The sequence below is a fragment of the Homo sapiens genome, chromosome 6, assembly GCF_000001405.40.
Source record: "Homo sapiens chromosome 6, GRCh38.p14 Primary Assembly".
Classification (NCBI taxonomy): domain Eukaryota; kingdom Metazoa; phylum Chordata; class Mammalia; order Primates; family Hominidae; genus Homo; species Homo sapiens.
This window is the reverse complement of record NC_000006.12, coordinates 2,336,640-2,358,708: the sequence shown is the minus strand read 5'-3', so window position 1 is coordinate 2,358,708 and position 22,069 is coordinate 2,336,640. Positions and strand designations below refer to the sequence as shown.

The window sequence follows — 22,069 nt, the reverse complement described above, 5'->3', positions numbered from 1 at the left end:
GCATTCGTCACAACAGAAAAAAGGCAGAAGCAGCACAATGTTCATCAACAGGGGAATGGATCAGCAGAATATGGTGCATACACTGGAATACCCACTCAGCCATAAATAGAAATGATATTCTGACACACGCCGCAACAAGGATGAACTGCAAAAACATTATGCTAAGAGAATAGCCACACACAAAGGACAAATATTGTATGATCCCACTTTGTGAGCTACCTAAAATGGTCAAAAGCATAGAGAGAGAAAGCAGAATAGGGGTGTCCAGGGCCTGGGGGCAGGGAGAATGGGGAGTTGGTGTTTAATGGGTACAGAGTTTTGGTTTGGGAAGATGAGAAGTTCTGGAGATGGATGGTGGCGATAGCTGCACAACATTGTAAGTGCAGAAATGTCACTGAACTGTGCACTTAAAAATGATGAAGATGAGCCGGGCACAGTGGCTCATGCCTGTAATCCCAGCACTTTGGGAGGCCGAGGTGGGCAAATCACCAGAGGTCAGGAGTTCGAGACCAACCTGGCCAACATGGTGAAACGCCATCTCTACTAAAAATACAAAAAATTAGCTGAGCATGGTGGTGCACACCTGTAATCCCAGCTACTCAGGAGGCTGAGGCAGAAGAATCGCTTGAACCTGGGAGGCAGAGGCTGCAGTGAGCTGAGATCGCAACACTGCACTCCAGCCTGGGCAGCAGAGTGAGACTCTGTCTCAAAAAAAAAAAAAAAAAAAAAAAGCGGTGAAGATGGTAAAGTCTATATTATATAAATTTTACCACGATTTTTTTAAAAGTCTCTCTGTTGGCTTTGTGGAGGAGAGGTTGGAGGAAGGATGGCAGGAATGGAAGCAGAAAGACCCTTTTAGGAGGCAACCGTGACAGTCAAGGCTTAGACTAGAATGGGAGTGATGCCGGTGGGTGGGGATCAGGGGTGAATTTGGATGATCCCAACATTTCCCACTTAACATCATTAATCTGTTCCTGAAAGTCAGATATTCTGTGAAAAACCACTAAAAATTTTCTTATCATTGTTTGTAAATTGAAAAAAAGTTATATTACAGTGCATGGCAACCATAACCCCAACCAATTTCCTAATATATAACTACAACACAGTGAAATGTCCACATATACATAATAAACTATTATGTCAGGATGTGAAATGCTTAAACCATCATTTCCTGACCTCCACATAGTGAATGTGCTGTTACTTATTCATCTGATTTGTAGGCAGTAGCAAGTAACAGTTTATATGCCATAATATAAGCATTTTGTTTACAATGGGCCATGACAAGTAACACACAGCAATGAATCCATTTGTTGGAAAAAATGCAGACAAAAGTTTACAATAAAAAAGTGAGGCTCAGCCAGGCGCGGTGGCTCAAGCCTGTAATCCCAGCACTTTGGGAGGACGAGGTGGGCGGATAACGAGGTCAGGAGATCGAGACCATCCTGGCTAACACGGTGAAACCCCGTCTCTATTAAAAATACAAAAAATTAGCCGGGCGTGGTGGCGGGCGCCTGTAGTTCCAGCTACTCGGGAGGCTGAGGCAGGAGAATGGCGTGAACCCGGGAGATGGAGCTTGCAGTGAGCTGAGATCGCACCACTGCACTCCAGCCTGGGTGACAGAGCGAGACTCTGTCTCAAAAAAAAAAAAAAAAAAAAGTGAGGCTCAGCCGGGCCCCATTACTCACGCCTGCAATCCTAGCACTTTGGGAGGCCGAGGTGGGAGGATCGCTTGAGGCCAGGAGTTCAAGACCAGCCTGGTCAATATAGGGAGACCCCATCTCAAATTTTTAAAAAAATGAGGCTCTTTCCTGTAATTAACTGTGATTCTTCATCTTCACAGTTTCCAGGGATGTGGGCACGGACATCTTTGGAGGCTGCTATTCTACAATGCATGAAGGATGGAGGAAGTACGAGTTGTCAAGCTGCGGAACCTGGGATCTCCTACCTCTGGCTTTCTCACTACGTGAAATGAATTTCCAAACTGTTCAAGCTAAAAAAAAAAATGCATATATCTTAGTTTGCTTTGTGGCTTTCTGACTGATATTATGAACAAATTCATGCTATATAATTGTATCCCCTTGATAACTTTTCATACTAAATTTACACTCATGAACACCAAAGTACGAAATGAAAAATTCAGGCAAGTTACAGCAAAGAGCCCAGATAAACAAGGGAAAAAATGCTTGTCTATGAGCAATCTACCAAATCAGGATCGCTACTTGGAAGCATTCAAAATTAGTCTTTATTATTAAAGTACATTTTTTTCACAGGAAGAAAGACTTCCTGTATATGTCTAAACGGTTGATGTAAAAGTGCAGCTGGCCATACATAGGCTAATCCACATTAATTTAATATTAAAATACAGTATGCCAGCTCTTTCTAAATTTGCTCCAGAGCAATAGATGTCTTGGGAGTCCATATTAATGAAACATTATGTTGCTCTAAGCAAAAAGGAGCCCTGCGGAACAGCCCTGAAAAGAAGAAAAAGACCAGGAAACTTCACAGGCTGCTCTGCTCAAAAAGAAGATTAAAAATACCCACTAGAAGAATTAGGAAACAAATACAAGAGCACCTTTTTCTTTAATTTCTCCACTTTCCTCTTTCCACATATGATTTAACACAAGTTTTGCCATAATAGGCTGTCCTTAATAAAGACAACACAGAATGAATTAATAAGTGAATGAATGAATAAAAAACAAATGATTGGATAGAATGGTTCATCATTTGGGATCAATATGTCTATGAAGGATAGTAATGAAAGTATAAGTAGTTGTCAACAGTTTCCCTCTTCTTTCTCACTCAGCAGCAGCCACATGTTCTCACTGTCCTTAAGCAGATCTAGTAGTTGCGTGGAGTGCTAAAGTCTAACTGTGAACTCATCTTTTAATGAAGACGCTAATTTTTAAATCACATGGATGCTATTGATTTGTTTGGCATATCTCATGCATCAATACATATAACATGCATCATCACATACTATAAATTTTTTAAATGTATAGACCCAAAAGATTGTTTTAAGACATAGTAGACCCAAAGTGGAACAATGAATGTGTGAACAACAGTCAAGAAAAAAGTTTAGTTAGTGCTTCATGAGAATACTCATTCAATTAGGAAGTACACCCACTGCTTACTCTAACGTACGTCCTCGTCCTAACTCAGAAACACATTTTGATACTGAGATGACTTCCTTGGCTACACAGGGCCTCCATTTCCCCCCAAAAAGAGGGTTGGATCAGGTGGTGGTTATGGCGTCTCCCAGTTCAAAAAGCCAACAGCATCATTTCAGCGAGGAGTAGTTTAAACTAATGTTTAAAGTATTACAAGTGCCAAGCACTCCAAATAGACTTTAACCACTAAGTAAGAAACCCTGGGCTATTCTCCAAGAGTCTTAAAACTTGCTTAGAGTCCAAGAAGACGGAATTGCTGAAAATAAGTTGTGTTGCCTTAAGAATAGGAACCAAAATATGGTTTTAACCAAAATATTTGATTTGTGTGTTAATACAGACACACTTTTTGTTCTCTGTCCCAGCTTTTAATATTACAAGTCATTTTAAAGTCTAAAACTACGATCAATGGGTTTTTAATGTCATATTTCTCTTAGATTGTTGCTGTTGTTGTTGTTGCTCGGGGTTTTTAATTTCATTTTTCACTAGAAATCTTAGAAATCTGTCAAAGAATAAAGTATGTCTTTGGGCATATATACTATACTTCAAGTTACATGCATTGGAAATTTTACATATGGTATTATCATTGCTTTCAGATTTAGATATTTCAGCTAACACACACGTAGACTTCCCTAAATCAATCCTACCCCTCCACTACCACCTCCACCACTGCTTTTCAAAGGATTTAGCCCATTACACAAATGTTGCTTATATGTATTTCTTCCAGGCAGCTCCCATTGTCTGCAAGTACTCTCTTCAAAAACAAATTCAAAAGTAAAGTTAAATGCAGTCATATTACAGAGATAGCAGCAACAATATTTGGTTAACATAACTTCCCAAAATGTAATGTGTGGTTCGAATAAATTTGTTGGGAAGTGAATGTTTGCAGTAGAAGAGTATAAGCAGATATAAACATCAGAACCTTTACGATTAAATCAACAGAACGCCATTGAAATGTTCTATATCAATGAAGAATGGCTTTAAAGTACAATGCTTTAGTAAACACAGACCCTCACTTTAATCAGTAATTTTAAACTTCCCTTTCACCAAACATTTCACGAATGCCTGCCAGCATGAGATATAATCGGTTAATGTAAGGTTCACCCTCTTCTCCTTTGTCTCCACTATACACATATTTTGAAAATGGAAAGACAAAAAAATGGAAACCAGGGTATTTACAAACGTAATTATTAGCACCACAAAGATCCATAATTCCCATTATTTTATACGTATATTGGAAATGGTTTGTAGCTGCATATGATACCAATACGTATTCACTCCTATCAAAAGATAACAGTCACACCTAAAGGCACATTTCTGTGAAAGCCATTTCACAAAACAGGAAAAAAACTGAATTTTGAAATGATAGAGCTTTGCGTCCTTCTGCCAGGTGTTTTATTTTTATCACATAGTTTCTGTAAGAGAAATTTAGGCACAAATAGTCTTTCTCAATTAGGCCAGCTGGTGGCGGTGTTGACTGCATACCAGAACAGCCTAAACCTGGCAAGAGCTTCTCATTGTTTCAGAAGAGTATTTCCCAAGAAATACAAATGAGTTCATCTTATCTGTGTTTTGAAACTTTCAAAGATATTATTCCCTCATATCAGCGACTACTGTGAACTCCCTTTGTAAAGCCTGATGATCCGTCTATTTCTCTTGGCTCTGTGTACAGCATTCAAGAGACAGGACGTGTTTCATTTCCAAGGCTTAGTTAATCGATGGATATACATTTTATCTGTTCACAGCTAGCACCACTGTTTACCTTGCCCATGACAGGGCTTTGAAACTACATGGGAATTTTCCTATAAGCAGAAGAAAGGGCAACATCTGCATGAGAGAAACACAAGTTTATATTCGGAGTTAGAAACATTAAAATCGTCCAGGCCGCTGTCAGATTAATGTGTATACAGACCCACTCTGGGTATGCAAATCAGGATCTTCCCACGAACTTCTCTTTAATTGTGCTTTTACTTGATATGTCCTTATCTGTGTGTGTGTGTGTAATCTGCCTACTTAATGGAACAATCTCTGACACCAGGGCTTTGAATCATGCCAACAAGATAAACTGAAACCGATCATATTGTCAAAGAGGCATTTATAAATGTAAATACTTCTGTATAATCTGAATAAAATTTTCTCTTTCTTTATTACCAAAGTTCTCAGGTTTACTTACATGCTCCTCTCCTCTCCATATGCATTGCTGAGTTAGTTGTTCATTCCTTTTCTGTAGAATAGAGTTGGCAAATTTTTCTTAAAAGATCAGATCATAAATATTTCAGGCTTTGGGGACCAAGAGGTAAAGTCGAGACTATTACGTGGGCACCTACATAACCACTTAAAAACGTAAAAGCCATTCTTAACTCAAGAGTAGTACCAGATGCAGAGGAAGGACAGATTTGGCCTTGCAGGCCAAAGTTTGCCAATCATCTTCTAGAGAATAAATTCTATCATGGGATGTATGTATATTTTTCCAGTAAAATCCACAAAGACTGGCAGAAAAAAAGACTCTAGCCTGTATATGATGTTAAAATTTTTCTAGTTAAAAATTTTCCAATTTAAAGCTACATATTAGAATTTGATACTAATCATTTATACTTTTTAAAAATGCATACTATTATCACTAAGAAATAAAAATCCTGGACCTGAGATCAGAAAATTTGGCCCAAGAGACACTCATAATGCTGCACAATGGGCTGTGTGTGGCGACAGGGGCAAGAGAAGACAACCAGAAACACCCCCAAATAAATAACCATAATGCTGTGCACAACATACCAAGCACAGCAGGCAATTTTCAGTAACCACCTTATAGCGTGTTTTAAAACTTAGTGTTGACAACACAACATTTTTTTCTTCTTATCGTTAAACATTTTTAGTTTTATTTGTTTTAACTGACTAATAACAATTATACATATTCATGGAGTTCATAATGATGTTTCAATACATATAAAGTGAGTGATCAGATCAGGGTAATCAGCATTTCCATCATCTCAAACATTTATCATTTCTTTGTGTTGGGGACATTTCATAGGCACCAATACCTTAAATTTTAAATTTAGAATTTATATATTTTTGACAATTATTAGCACTGTAGGTTTTCAAGAAAAGATCCCCCTTCTTGCAGACTTGGGACTGTGCAGGGAGCGCTCCGGAGGCCAGGACAAAGGGTATCAGCGATGGGCTGGTGTTGATGTCTCTTCCCTGGAGATCTGAGAGAATGAGGAACTAATCTGTTGAACTAACTTAGAATGAATCATGAGTTTTGGGTTCACACTTTGTTTTTTTTTTTCCTTTCACCAGCAGCATAGGGTATTTTGCAAACTAGATTAGCTAGTAGAAAAGGAATGGCATGAAATAACAGACTCACTCAATAATTATTTGACTTTGCAATATGGTCAAAAATATTCTCAGAAGCTTACTTTTTGAAAATGAAGAAAAGAAACTTGATATGCCTGCATGCTGGGCCCTGACTTAGAGCTAATAGGGACCTTCAATATCATCCAGTTCAGCCCTCTTAGTTCACAGGTGAGTAAATGACAGCCCAGAGCACTTGAGTGGCTTGCCCAAGGCCACACAGCAAGGAACTAGCTATTCCAGGCTGATGCGTAATCAATCTACTTAACAGCAAACTTTCTAGCTCCAGGGACAGAACCAAAAGCAAGTTATTTTTCTTGAAATGAATGGGTCTTTACTTAGACTCACAAGGTAAGAGTAAAATATGAGCTATTTTGAATGCTTTCCAGCATTGTCCAGAAACCCAATAAAAATGGGAATTAAGGGATACAACTCTCACTACTACTCCAGATAGGATAGGTGCAAGCTGTGGAGAGCCGGGGGTTCGGGGGGAAGTGGGAGGTGGGTGGGGGTTTGAGAGCTGGCCTGCAGATGCCCAGGAACCTGAACCCTGCCTCCTCCAGTGGTCACCAGCCACACTGTGTCTGAGGGTCTCCAATGCTGGCAGAGACCTGCAGCCTCTGTCATCGCCTCAGACTGTACCATTCAGCAGCCACCGGGCCCTCCCTTTTGTGGAATCAAAGGGAAGCATCAGGAGAGACCAGGCATCTCAAAGCTGGGCTCTCCAAACATCACGAGATCAACTCCTTAAACATAGGAAGCCAAGCCTCTCGCCCTTCACATTTAAACATCTCAAACTGCTGCGTTCTAATCAAGTCAAGCAGCCAATGTTGTTTTTAACATTTAGAGTCTCTACTTTATGGGACACTGTGATCCATACAATAAATTTTTATCACAAGCTGGCATTTGCTCAACAGGTTCCTGGCTACTGAAGTGGATTACCCTTGGGCCCTCTATCAAGATGGCTTCATGTCTGGATTCCAGGTGACTTGGATAGTTTTCACTCTACTAAACCACACTACCTATAACGCACCTGATCTCCCTTGAGTGTCAGAGTTGGACATCCTGCCCTGTAGCACCATAACGACAAGAGAACCCAATCTTGTAGAGTCAGTGTGATGGTCTGGGGACATAGGAAATGCCTCTTTCTACACAGAAGGAAGATTATATTACGTAGTCCTGGTGAGTTTTTTCCCCATAATTGTCATCCAACATAAACGTCAGTCTCCATACATACGGCCAACAAACACGTGAAGAAATGCTCAGCATCACTGATCACCAGAGAAATGCAGGTCAAAACCACAATGAGACACCATCTCACACCAGTCAGAATGGCTATGGTTAAAACGTCAAAAAAATAACAGATGCCGGTGAGGCTGCAGAGAAAAGGGCATGCTTATACACTGCTGGTGGGAATGCAAATTAGTTCAGCCCCTGTGGAAAACAGTTTGGAGATTTCTCAAAGAAGCAAAAATAGAATTACCATTCAACCCAGCAACCCCATGACTGGGTATACACCCAAAGGAAAATAAATCACAAAAGACACCTGCCCTTGTATGTTTATCACAGCACTGTTCTCAACAGCAAAGACATAGAAACAACCCAGGTGACTATCAATAGTAGATTGGATAAAGAAAATGTCAGCCGGGCGCGGTGGCTCACGCCTGTAATCCCAGCACTTTGGGAGGCCGAGGCGGGTGGATCACGAGGTCAGGAGATCGAGACCATCCTGGCTAACAGGGTGAAACCCCGTCTCTTTTAAAAAACACAAAAAAATTAGCCGGGCGTGGTGGCGGGCGCCTGTAATCCTAGCTACTCGGGAGGCTGAGGCAAGAGAATGGCATGAACCTGGGAAGTGGAGCCTGCAGTGAAGCCGAGATCACACCACTGCACTCCAGCCTGGGCGACAGGGCGAGACTCCTCTCAAATAAATAAATAAATAAATAAGAACGAAAAAATATCAAACTTATACACCACGGAGTACTACAAAGTCACAAAAAAGAATGAACACGTCCCCTGAAGCAACATGGATGCAGCTGGAGGCCATTATCCTAAGCGAATTGACACAGAAACAGAAAACCAAATACTTCATGTTCTCACTTCTTTTTTTTTTCTTTTGAGACAGGGTCTTGCTCTGTCTCAAAAGCCCAGCCCAGGCTGCGGTGCAGTGGTGTGATCACAGCTCACTGCAGCCTCAATCTCTCAGGATCAAGCAATCCTCCCACCTCAGCCTCCAAAGTTGCTTGGACTACAGGTGTATGCCACCATGCCCAGGTAATTTTTTAAAAATTTTGTAGAGACAGTGTCTTGCCATGTTGCCCAGGCTAGTCTCAAACTCCTGGGCTCAAGTGGTCCTCCCACCTTGGCCTCCCAAAGTGCTGGGATTATAGGCATGAGCCGCCACACCCGGCCTGTTCTCACTTATAGGCTAAACCAATGTTTAGCTTCACCACAAAAGGACATGAAGACGGGAAAAATAGACACTGGGGACTCCAAAAGGAAGGAAGCTGGGGGCATGGGCTGAAAAACTACTCATCGGGTACTATGTCTGCTACTCGGGCAATGGGATCATTAGAAGCCCAAACCTCAGCATCACACAATATACCCTTGTAACAAACCTGCACCTGTGCCCCCGAATCTAAAATAAAAAGTAAAATTGAAAAACAAATACATACATAAATAAACAAAATGGAAAAAAAAAGAAATGTCAATCTCCCCTTCAAAATGCAAGGTTAGGACATTTTCTCAGCTGACTACTGAGCTCCCAAGGTTTTTATTTTAAACTAAATTTAATGTTGACAAATATTTACAACTATTTCCATTTGGATGCTGTATATACTCTATACTACTGTAGCTGTTATTAAGAATATTATGTCTATCATTTTTCTCCAAAAATTTCAGAATGTTCTATTAAATCCTAACACAAATTTCCCTCAACCCTACATTGCCCCATAATCCTTATCTTGGGTGTTCCTCAAATATAACAAAAGAGGCTAAGGTACACAGCCAGCCAGAGCAGGCAACGCGATTATGAATGCAGGGTCCTCTGACACCGCAGGAGACAGTCCCCCACCCCCGGTATGCATTTAATATTACAATTCCATTTGCAGAATAGATCTCTCCCTACTAAATTTGCAGGATTGGTGTCAGAGAACAGGAAGAGCCCAAAGGTTGTGGTTAAGGGCTGAGAGACACAAAAAGCCTATGGATTACTTGAAATCCCAATGACTTGTGAGTTGTTACCGTGAGGAGGTTGAACAAAGGCAGCAGGGTTCAATGTATAAAGAGTGTCTACTAGCAGCTGATGAGGACGGCCATCTGCAGTTAAGCTAATTCATCTTGAGTGTTTAAGCATAACAGGACATCATGCCCTTTGTCCTTCTACACAACTCCTTCATTGATATGAATCAAGGAATTTTTGTCATTTTTTTCTGTTCTCTGTGTGTGTGTGTGTGTGAGCGCGCACGCGCATGTGTGTGTAAGATGGGAAGATCTTTCCAGTTTAAGATATCCCAAAGTGTCCTTGTCCATAGGTGGTTGACTGGGGAGTGGGCTACCCAGCTGTTTGATCTGCAGGGCCACAGTTTACTTTGGATCTTGCCTCGTTTTTGTTCTAAAGCCCTTGCAACATGCTGTGCCTGGTGTTGTTGCTCATCTCAGGTGGCTATTCTCCATGCTCATTTCTGTTTTTGAATTAGGTCTCCAACTTCAGGTTCAATTCCATTGACAAAGCCAGATGAAAGGGCTGTTGCTCCCTCAGCACCTCTGTAACGCTCAGCTGTCATCCAAAGTTGCTTTCTAGTCTATCTCGGAAATCTCCTATAGTGTCATCTTTTTTCTTTGTTTGTTTGCATGATTGAATTATGCTCCAGCAGATTTGTTTTGAAAACATTTGGGGTATGACTTTTAGGGCACTTGACCTACATTTTGGGTAGGTCCCTTTTTTTGACTGTCAGGTTTATTGTGGAAAGGGGAATCCTATAAGGCATCGTTCCTGGTCAGTCCAATCAGCTTTTACCCTCCAACCTTTAGCATCGGAGGTTCTGACCAACATGTGTACACGTTGACAAATGTACAAGGTACCCATGTGTACAACATGTGTACAAAGTCAGGGGTCCCTGGGTCATATGCCTCCAGAGGAATTCTAAACTTTTCTAATAAATATTTGCTGGTCTTCTTTGGCTTTAAGGAAATCATTTTTTTTTCAACTTAAAAAAAAATACAGACAGGGTCTCACTGTGTTGCCCAGGCTGGTCTCAGACGCCCGGGCTTAAGCAATCCTCCTGCCTCAACCTCCCTAAGTGCTGAGATTACAAGCATTAGGGAAATCTTTAATTATACCTCTTAATTCAGCCCAGGCCCAAGGCTTAAGTCTACAGTTTCCCCACATAACTGGTTTGAAAGAGGAGTTTTAGGAGGGTTGTTTGGGAAAAGTAGGAGGTCTGGACCAAGGGAAGATGAGGGAGGCGGTGTGGGTGTGGAAGGACAGTGATCAGAGCATAAAAGGAAAAGAGAGCTGGATATTAGGAGACAACCAAGGGAGCATGGAGGGGGAGGTTTTCCAGAAAAATGAGTCTAGTGTGTTCTTTCTTACATTTGTCGAATTGCTCATTAGCTCTGGTCAATGAATCTTTTAGTGAAGCACTTTGTACGTCAGAATTTTATCTGGAGGTGTACCAATCAAAAAATGCCACCCAGCAGGCAGAAAGCCAGAGAGAATGCTGTCTCTGGATCAAAGTCAAGCTCTCAAGACACAAAATCCAGATGGATCAAAGTCAAGCTCTCAAGACACAAAATCCAGACAGAAGGAGAACCTCATCTGGTTTTATTGGTTACCCATAGCTGAGTTTGTCCAAGTGGGTGCCTGTCAGTGAGAACCACAAGCTCACAGGTACGTGAGCGAAAAGGACTGACAAAGAAAGGTATGATTCCACCAAGGCTGCCAAACAAATGGGAACTAATACCCAGTTATTAACAAAAGCTGGATACCAAAGTGAGCACAGTCAAGGAACTCAACACAAAGAGAGTGGGGTTTAGACTCAGGGCTGACTTAGCACATCCGTGCTTCGAGTGGCAAGACACAGGGGGCCTCTGTGGGTACCAGACCTGGCTGAAGGTTGAGTCCAGGACAACAGAGTGTGCAGACCTCCACTGTTAACTATGGAAATACATGAAGACCAACCAAGTGAGAACAAGCAAAGACTATTTATTCAGAGCTTGCCATAGCAAGGGCGTCACCCACCACCTTGCATTTCGGCAGAGACTCAAAGGCAAGGAGAGAGGTAGGAAAGCTTTATAGTAGAATAAGGGGAAGCTTTCAAGTGCATGTTGATTGGAGGATATAGGCGTGGGAAAGCTGGAGGCAGCTAACTAGAAGTGGGGCCTCCTATGTGATTGGTTAGGGTGCATATTTGACTTTCTCTGATTGGCTGTTAGTTGGAAGCAGGAACAAAAATTAGAGAAGTTGTCAATCATCACTCAAGTTCTTGACCTGTTATGGCGGCTCAGGCCTGTAATCCCAACACTCTGGGAGACCAAGGTGGGTGGAACACTTGAGCCCAGGAGTTCAAGACCAGCCTGGGCAGCATGGTGAAACCTTGTCTCTACAAAAAATACAAAAAAAAAATTAGCCGGACACGTTGGCTGTACCTGCAGTCCCAGCTATTCAGGAGAATGAGGTGGGAGGATCACCTGAGCCCAAGAGGTCAAGGCTGCAGTTAGCCATGATCACCAGTGCACTCCAGCCTGGGTGACAGAGTGAGACACGGTCTCAAAAAAAAAAACAAGTTCTTAACATTTTGGGCCAATTGTTACAGAGATTATTGCTGCAGTTTGTGGATCTGAATCCTATTTTTATATAGCCTGGCCATTGTCCACTGGTCTATTCAGTCTCCCAGCACATAGCCTTCAACCCAGCACTTTTGTTCCCGTGTGAATGAAATGAACCATGTACAAGGTTATGCATGGCAACATTGTTTTGATAGACAAAAGAAAAGTTGGAAAACAACCAAAATGTCCATAATCAGGGCACAGGATAAATGAGTGAGGCTGCCCCCCTATAATGGAGTACTAAATCGGTGTCCCCTTAATGTACTCCCAAAGCCCATTGTCCATGCTTTGATGACAGCACTCATCACATGGTGTCCATTTATAGGTCTGATTCCTTAACTTCACTCTTAAGGACTCAAAACAAATTTTAACTTTCTCTATGTGTCTGCTTAACACTTGTCAGGTGACAGCGAAACATGGAACCTGTTCCTCTCTAAACAGAGGATAGGCAGTCATAAAAAGCAGTACAGAGTTTAAATTTCACTAACATAAAAACACAATTCAGTAAATTGAAGCATATTTTTGGGGAAAAATTGTATTCTACTATAAATTTGGACATTAGACTACATTTACAAAAGCAATAGAAGTGTTTAATTCAAATGAAATAAGGTTCTAAAAGCAGGGATCAGCACAGTTTTTATAAAAGGGGTCACACTAAATATTTTAGGCTTTGAGGACCATATTGCATTTGTCACCTGTTCTTTGATTTTTTAAAAATAAACTTGGCCGGGCGCAGTGGCTCATGCCTGTAATCCCAGCACTTTGGGAGGCCGAGGTGGGTGGATCACCTGAAGTCAGGAGTTTGAGACCAGCCTGACCAACATAGTGAAACCCCATCTCTACTAAAAACATAAAAATTAGCCCCACTTGGTGGCGTGCACCTGTAATCCCAGCTACTCGGGAGGCTGAGGCAGGAGAGAGAATCGCTTGAAACCAGGAGGCGGAGGTTTCAGTGAGCCAAGATCGTGCCATTGCACTCCTGCCTGGGCAACAAGAGGGAACCCCGTCTTAAAAAAAAAAAAAAGAAAAGAAAAGAAAAAAAAACTTAAAAATTGGGGCTTGCAGATCTCTGTTTAACAGGCAAAGTTCATTGACTTCTTTCTGTTCTTAAGAGACCATTTTGGAAATCTAAGTATAAATATCTAAGTATGAATATTAAGGATACTAAATAGGTTTTTTCAGACAAAGTAACCATACAAGAAAAGAGACTGAATTGACTACTGAAATTTTAGAGTTAGAAGCAACTCCAGAACTTGTTAAAACTCAAATTGCTATGGGGTCCAAGTTCCAAAGTGATGCTCATGTTTTTTGTCTGGGACCACATTTTGAGATCTGTTGCTGGATAGGCTAAAAGCTTTCCAAATCCTTATTTTTGCTGCATCATGAGGAGATTCTTGTCATCTCTGTGAGCAAAGCTCCTAGGAACAAATTCCCCTCCCAGCAGCCAGTGTATTGGGCACTTTGTTGCTGTCACACGGAAACTTCACAGACCCACCCAAATCTGAGGACAAAAGGAAAATGTTGTCTAACCGGCAACACCCCCTGAGGTACACCTCTGGAACAAGAATACAGCAAGAATCTATTAATAGGAGTGATCCCTTTCGAACTGAAAAGTTCCTGTACCCCTCCCTGAAGTAAGCGCCGGTATTAAAGGCTGCTGACCTGAATGGGCCATAATGCAATATGGTGACAGCTTATGTAACCTGTGAAACTAGTTCAGCCAATCTTCAGGGACAATAGGCTTAAAATGGATTGATGTTAGATCCTTTTTAGGTGGACTTGGGTGTTCAGTTTGGTTTATTAGCCTTCCTTAAGCCTGCTAGCCTGTGCCAATTTTTATCATAATCCTTAGCACTCTAAATGGTCCTTGGGATCAAAGACCAGCTTACTTGTCTTTGTTGAGTTAATACATGTTAAACACTTAGAACAGTACCTGCACATAACGTGTACTATACAAATCTGAGTAATTGCTGTTATTATTCACAGCACCTAGCCTGGAGCTGGGTACTTAGAAGGAGTTGAATAAATACTTTTCAATAATGAATAAACAAACTGTATGATGCATGCTTATGATCCCCTCAGTAAAAATTTTTGTAGTTTATTTGTGGTCCTTGGAAACATTAATAATTTGGGACAGTCCAGACATTAAGTTTCTGTTTGGGATAATGAAAAAAGTTCTGGAAATAGATAGTGGTGATGGTGTATTAGGTTGGTGCAAAAGTAATTGCAGTTTTTGCCATAGCATTCAATGGCAAAAAAATCGCAACTACTTTTGCATCAACCTAAACACAACGTTATGAATGTACTTTTTTAAGCTTCCACATGTAAGTGAGAACATGCAGTATTTAACTTTCTCTTCTAGCCTTACTTCACTTAACATAGTGTCCTCCAGTTTCATCCACGGTGCTGCAAATGACAAGATTTCATTATTTTTCATGACTGAATAGTATTCCAGTGTGTGTGTGTGTGTGTGTGTGTGTGTGTGTGTGTGTGTGTGTGTGTATAATTTTTCTTATCCATTCATCTGGTTTTGGACACCTAGGTTGATCTCACATCTTGGCTATTGTGAATACTGATGCAATAAATGTGGAGGTGCAGATGTCTCTTCAATATAATGATTTCCTTTGCTTTGGATAAATTCCAGTAGTGGAATTGCTGGATCATATTGTAGTTCTGTTTGTAGTTTTTTGAGGAACCTCCATGCTGTTCTCCATAGTGGCTATACTAGTTTACATTTCCACCAACAATGTATAAGAATTCCCTTTTCTTTGCATCCTCACCAGCATTTTATATTTTTTGTCTTTTTGATAACAGCCATCCGAACTGGGGCGAGATGATACCTCATTGTAGTTTTGATTTGCAATTCTCTGATGGTTAGAGATGTGAGCACATTTTCACATATTTCTTGACCATTTTTATGTCTTCTTAGGGAAATGTCTATTCAGATCATTTGCATTTTTTTTTTTTTTGAGACAGAGTTTTGCTCTGTCACCCAGGCTAGAGTACAGTAGCCTGATCTTGGCTCACTGCAACCTCCGCCTCCCAGGTTCAAGCAATTCTCATGCATCAGCCACGTAAGCAGCTAGGATTACAGGCATGTGCCACCACACCCAGCTAATTTTTGTATTTTTAATAGAGACGGGGTTTCACCATGTTGGCCAGGCTGGTCTCGATCTCCTGGGCTCAAGTGATTCACCCACCTCGGCCTCCCAAAGTGCTGGGATTACAGGCGTGAGCCACTGCGCCTGGCCCACATGTCCATCTTTTTCTTTTATTATTATTTTTTGTTAGCTGTTGAAGTGTTTGAGTTCTTTGTATATTCAGGATATTCACCCCAAATTGGATAAGTAGTTTGCACAGATTTTCTCTAATATTGTAAATTATCTTTTCACTCTATTGGTTGTACCCTTTGCTGCACAGAAACTTTTTAGTTTGCTATAATGCCATTTGTTTATTTTTGTTTCTGTTGCTTGTGCTTTGGATATCCTATTCATAAAATCTTTTCCCAGACTCATATCCTGAAGCATTTCCCCCAAAGAACTTCTTCTAGTAATTTCATGGTTTCAGGTCTTAAATTTAGGTCTTTGATCCACTTTAAGTTGACGTTTGTATTGGGTGAGAGGTAGGGGTTTAGTTTCATCCACTTTTCCTAGAACTATTTATTGAAGAAACGGTTCTTTCTCCAATGAGTGTTCTTGGTAGTTTTGACAAAAATCAGTTGACTATAAATATGTGCATTTATTTCTGTGTTCTCTATTCTGTTCCATTGATCTACGTGTTTTTTAATGCCCATTTTGGTTACTACAACTTTGTAATATATTTTGGGGTCTGGTAGTGTGACACCTCCAACTTTTTTTGTTATTTCAAACTTTATCCAGCTTTAGTAAAGGTACTTTCCATAAACAATCATGGTATTTCAAGCAGAACTTGGGCAGACAATCATTAACAGTACACAACAACTTTCAAACTCCCTTCTTCAGTTGACTACCCAAAATCAGAAAGCCACTATAAAACTCAATTAAGTCTTCATCTGATGCTCTGAACAGAGAAAGTTTAGAGTGAGGGTTAACATTTCACATTTAGCATGTTGTTCAACACCTTTTCATGAGCCAACCCTGGCTTTCAGGAAGTAAAATGAAAATGGCAGAATTTATCCAAAGATCCACAACCTACAAATGGAACCACTGCTCTTTTAAGGAGCACCATCTCAGTGCTATCACTGGAAAGTCCAGATTGCCTGACACACTGGTGACCAATTACTGGGGGGTCACATCCCAACAGGTGTCTGGGTTTAAGGGAGTTAAGTCTATGCTGAAAGGTTGAAAGGGAGAAGAGGACATAAAAATGAATTTGTTTTTAATGGCTTTTGTGACAAGGTGGCCATGTGTGTCAAAGTCAGGAAATCCCTCCTCCTGGGAGCCAAGAGGAAGTCTCTCAAAACTAGAAGGGAAAGGTGTCTTCTCCACATCAATCCAGCTTCACGGACATTCTTTTCCCAAAAACAACAATGAATTGTTCTGTGTGCTAACAACATAGCTTTTAAAAAAAGTGAAACAAAATGCTGCATTTTTATAAAACTTGATAAAAAGAGTATTTCACACTCTACAGTCACCTCTAGAGGCACATAGTTATCAAAAATGTGCACACTTCACTTGGCATCTCCAGCACCTTCAGCTTTCTGTGCCTGGTCTGTTTTGGCATCTCCATTTTCTGCAGGGTTATTCCCCTCCTTGCCAGCAACAGCTTTTCCCTTTTTCCATTGGGTACCTTCTCTCCCTTCTTCTCGAGAGCCTTTTTTGGCTTGGGCTCTGGCTTTGGAAGGTTTAGTAGACAACCTCGCGGATCTTCTCAGTGGTTCGTCTTTCACCTTGGCTTTATCTCCTTTAGCATCCCCTTCAATCTTTGTCTTGGGCATGATGGCAGCAATGGCAGTGGGATGTAGGCACTTGGCAAGGGATGCAGTGGCCCGTGGGCTTTGGTCAGCCCAGGGGGCATTCTCACCCTTCTTATTTGATACCTCCAACTTTGTTCTTTTTGTTTGGAATTGCTTTAGATATTCGAAGTCTCTTGTAGTATAATATACATTTATGATTTTTTTCTATTTCTGTGAAAAATGTCATTGGTATTTTCATAGGGATTACATTGAACCTGTAGATTGCTTTGGGTAGTATTGTCATTTGACAATATTAATTCTTCCAACCTATAAGCATGGGGATGTCTTTCTATTTGTTTGTATCCTCTTCAATTTTTTTCATCAAAGTTTTGTAGTTTTCCTTACAGCAGGCTTTCACCTTCTTGGTTACATTTATTACTGGGCAGTTTATTTGTTTTGTAACTATTGTAAATGGGATTGCCTTGTTGATTTCTGTTTCAGCTAGTTCATTGTATGTGCCTACAAAAGCTACTGATTTTCGTATATTAATTATGTATCTTGCAACTCTACTGAATTCATTTATCAGTTCTAAGAATTCTTGGTAGAGCCTTTAAGTTTTTCAGTATATAAGATTATGTCATCTGCAAAGAAAAATTCGACTTCCTCCTTTCCAATTTGGATGCCATTTATTTTCTTCTCTTGGCAATTGCACTGCACAAGACCTCCAGTACTACGTTGAACAAAAGCAATGAGAGTGGACATCCTTGTATTGTTCCAGTTCTTAAGAGAAAAGCTTTTGGCTTTTTCCCATTGAATAAAATGTTAGCTGTGGTTATGTCACACATAGCTTTTATTATATTGAAGTACTTTCCTTCTGTACCTAATTTACTGAGAATTTTGATAATGAAGGGATGTCGAATTTAATCAAATGCTTTTGCTTCATCTATTGAGATGATGACACGGTTTTAGTCCTTTATTCTATTGATGTAATAATGATGTTTATTGATTTGTATATGTTGAACCATCCTTGAATTGCTGGCATAAATTTCACCTGAGCATGGTGTATCATCTTTCTGATGTAATTTTGGATTCAGTTTGCTAGTGTTTCACTGAGAACTTTTCCACCTATGTTCATCAGGGATATTGGCCTGTAGATTGTTTTGTTGCTGTTCTGTTCTTGCCTAGTTTTGGTATCAGGGTTATGCTGACCTCCTAGAATAAATTAGGAAGAATTCCCACTGCTTCAACATTGCTGGAATAACTTGAGAAAAATTGGTATTAATTCTTATTTAAAGGAGCAATAGAATTCAATAGGAAAGCCATTCAGTCCCGAACTTTTCTTTTTTGGGGAACTTTTTATTACTAATTCAATCTCATTACTTCTTTTGTGTGTGTGTATGTGTGTGTGACTTACTCTGTCACCTAGGCTGGAGTGCAGCAGTGCAATCTTGGCTCACTGCAACCTCTGCCTCCTGGGTTCAAGTAATTCTCCTGCCTCAGCCTTCTGAGTAGCTGAGATTACAGGTGCACACCACCATGCCTGGCTAATTTTTGTATTTTTTCAGTACAGACAGGGTTTCACCATGTTGGCCAGGCTAGTCTCAAACTCCTGATCTTGTGATCTGCTCAGCTCAGCCTCCCAAAGTGATGGGAGTACAGGCGTGAGCCACCGTGCCCAGCCCAATTGCATTACTTCTTATCACTCTGTTCAGGTTTTCTATTTCATCTTGGTTAAATCTCAAGAGTTTGTATGTGTCCAGGAACTTGTTCATTTCCTTGAGGTTTTCAAATTTATTGAAATATAGTTATTTTTAGTAGTTTTTAATTATCCTTTGTATTTCTGTGATATCCATTGTGACATCCCCTTTTCATTTCTGATTTTATTTACTTGGTTTTCTCTCTTTTTTAGTTAGTCTAGCTAATTGTCTATTTTGTTTATCTTTTCAAAAATCCAAATTTTTGTTTCATTGATCTTTTGTATTTTTTAGCTTCAATTTTGTTTATTTCTTCTCAGATCTTCATTATTTCCCTTTTTCTACTAATTTTGGATTTGGTTTTTTCTTCTTTTGGTAGATTTGTATCTTTGTGCATCATCAGGCTGTTTATTTGAAATATTTCTAGTGTCTTCATGTAGGCATTGATTGCTATAAATTTGCCATTTAACACTTCTTTTGCTGTGCCCCATAGGTTTTGGTATGTTGTGTTTCTATTTTCATTTGTTTCAAGGAATTTTTAAATTCCCTTCCTAATTTATTCCTTCACTCATTGGTCATTCAGAAGCATGTTTTCTAACTCCCATGTATTTGCATAGTTTTAAATGTTCCTCTTGTAATTGATGTCTAGTTTATTCCACTGTGGTCACATAAGATATTTGACATAATTTTGATGTTTTAGTGTTTTGAGACTTGGAATTTCCTTGTCTCAAGGAAATTCCTTGTGGGCAAAGGACAGAATTCAAAGTCATCCCTCTGAGGTTGACCTGAGACAAATGGATATCTGATTGTTTCCTCTGTCTTATTCTTTATGTAACAATGCAGATGCACCAAGCCAGACTAAATTGTGTATTCAGTGGAAAGCTGATCGAGGACTTAAAAGAATGCAACCTTTTGTCTCTTATCTACTTCTGACCTGGAAGCCCCCACTTCAAGTTGTCCTGAAGTGTCTCATGTCTCCCTGAAATGCATAAAAGCAAGCTATTCCCCAACCACCTTGGGCACATGTCCAAGCCTCAGGACCACCTGAGGCTGTGTCATGGGTGCATCCTTAACCTTGGCAAAATAAACTTTCTAAATTGACTGCGACCTGTCTCAGATATTTTGGGTTCACATTATTATCTTTTCACTTTCAGATGCAAGGCTCCCTTGAGCATTTCTTATAAAATCAGGTTAGTGATAGTGAATTCCCTTATGTTTTGCTTGTCTGGGACTTTATTTCTCCTTTATTTCTGAAGGAGATAGCTTTGCTGAGTATAATATTCCTAGTTGACAGGGGTTTTTTCCCAGTACTTTCAATATCTTGCCCCATTCTCTCTTGGCCTGTAATGTTTGTGTAGAGAAATCTGCTCTTAGTCTAATGGGGATTCCCTTAAGTTTGACTTGACACTTTTCACTTGCTGATTTTAGAATTCTTTGTCTTTGACTGTTGACAATTGGACTGTTATGTACCTTGGAGAGGACCTGTTTGGGTTGAATCTATTTGGAATTCTTTGAGCTTCCTAGACCTGGATGTCCACCTTTCTCTCAAAACTTGCGAAGTTTTCTGCTATTCTTTTATTAAATGTGTTTTTCTCACCTTTTCCCATGTCTTCTGCCTCTGGAACACCCATAATATGAATATTTCTTGGTGTAATAGTGCCCTATAAATCTGATATCCTTGCTTCATTATTTCTTCTTCCTCCTCCTCTTCTTCTTCCTTTTCTTCTTCTTGTTCTCCTCCTCCTCCTTCTTCTTCCTCTTCTTTTCCTTCCTCCTCCTCTTCCTCCTCTTCTTCTTCCTCTTCTTCTTTTCCTCCTTCTCCTCCTCCTGCTTCTGCTGCTTCTACTTCCTGAGTTGTTTGAAAAGACCTATCTTTCAGTTTAGAAATTGTTACTTCTACTTGATCTAGTCTTTTGTTGAAGCTATCAATTTCATTTGTTTTATTCATTGAATTATTTAGCTCTAGGATTTCTGTTTGGTTCTTTTTTATGATACCTTTTTTATGATATCTGTCTCTTTGTTGAATTTCTCATTCAAATCAATTCAAACCATGAATTGCTTTCCTGACTTTATTGAGTTTGTACGTCTGCATTTTATTGTATCTCACTGAGTTTCCTTATGACTATTATTTTACATTTTTCTCCACCTTTCACAGATTTTCTTATAATTATGGACTGTTAATGGAGAATTACTGTTTTCCTTGCTTTCTAATGTTTGATGTATCCCTACATTAATTTTACACATCTGATGGAAAAGTTGCCTTCAGCAATTTTATGGAGTAGGTTTCATAGGGAAACCTCATAGGTTTCATACACTTATTCATATAAGTGAGTTTGGGGGTATCAGTTTGGTGGGGTGCACTGGCCTTTGTTCTACATTAATAAGTAGTGTGTTATCCATTTCTTCAGCTATAATCCACACTAGTGGCATTTGTGAGTGTGTGTATATATATACACACACACATATATGTAAAATTGTGTGTATGTACACATATATGTGTGTATATATATACATATATATGCAAAATTGTGTGTATATATACACACACACATATATACACATATATATGCAAAATTTAATGAAGCTAATACTGTGACCACTACAGAGGCCCCCAGTGTGTCACTTCTAATCATAATCTTTTCCTTCCCTAATCAGAAATAACCATTATGACTTTTGCAAAATTCAGTTTCTTGCTTAAAATTTTCCATTTGTTTATGCATTTCTAAGTGATATAATTTAGTTTGCCTGTTTTAAAAATATGTAAATAGAATCACACTGAATGTGTGTGTGTGTGTGTGTCCTGTTTCTTTCATCTAACATTATATATGTGAGATTCATTTATGTTGTTATGTACAACTGCAGTTAATCAATTTTTATGGTGCATGGTATTCCATTGTATGAATATACCAAAATTAGGTTGTTGTTTTTTTTTTCTGAGACAAGTGGCTGGAACTACAAGCATGCATCACCACACCTGGCTAATTTTTGTATTTTTAATAGAGATGGGTTTCATCATGTTAGCCAGGCTGGTCTCCAACTCCTGAACTCAAGTGATCCACCCGCCTTGAGCTCCCAAAGTGCTGGGATTACAGGCGAGAGCCACCATGCCGGGCCCCAGCATTAGTTTATTAAATAGCTATACCAGCTTCTTTCAATTA

The 22,069-nt window shown here is 39.9% G+C and overlaps 1 long non-coding RNA gene and 1 pseudogene across 1 annotated transcript in view; both read right to left on the bottom strand.

Annotated features, from left to right (window-relative positions):
* The window catches only part of GMDS-DT (GMDS divergent transcript), a 167,839-nt gene that overhangs the window by 54,883 nt on the left and 90,887 nt on the right, over positions 1–22,069 (bottom strand). The window lies entirely within an intron of this gene.
* Positions 16,209–17,352, bottom strand: HMGN2P28 (high mobility group nucleosomal binding domain 2 pseudogene 28; annotated as a pseudogene).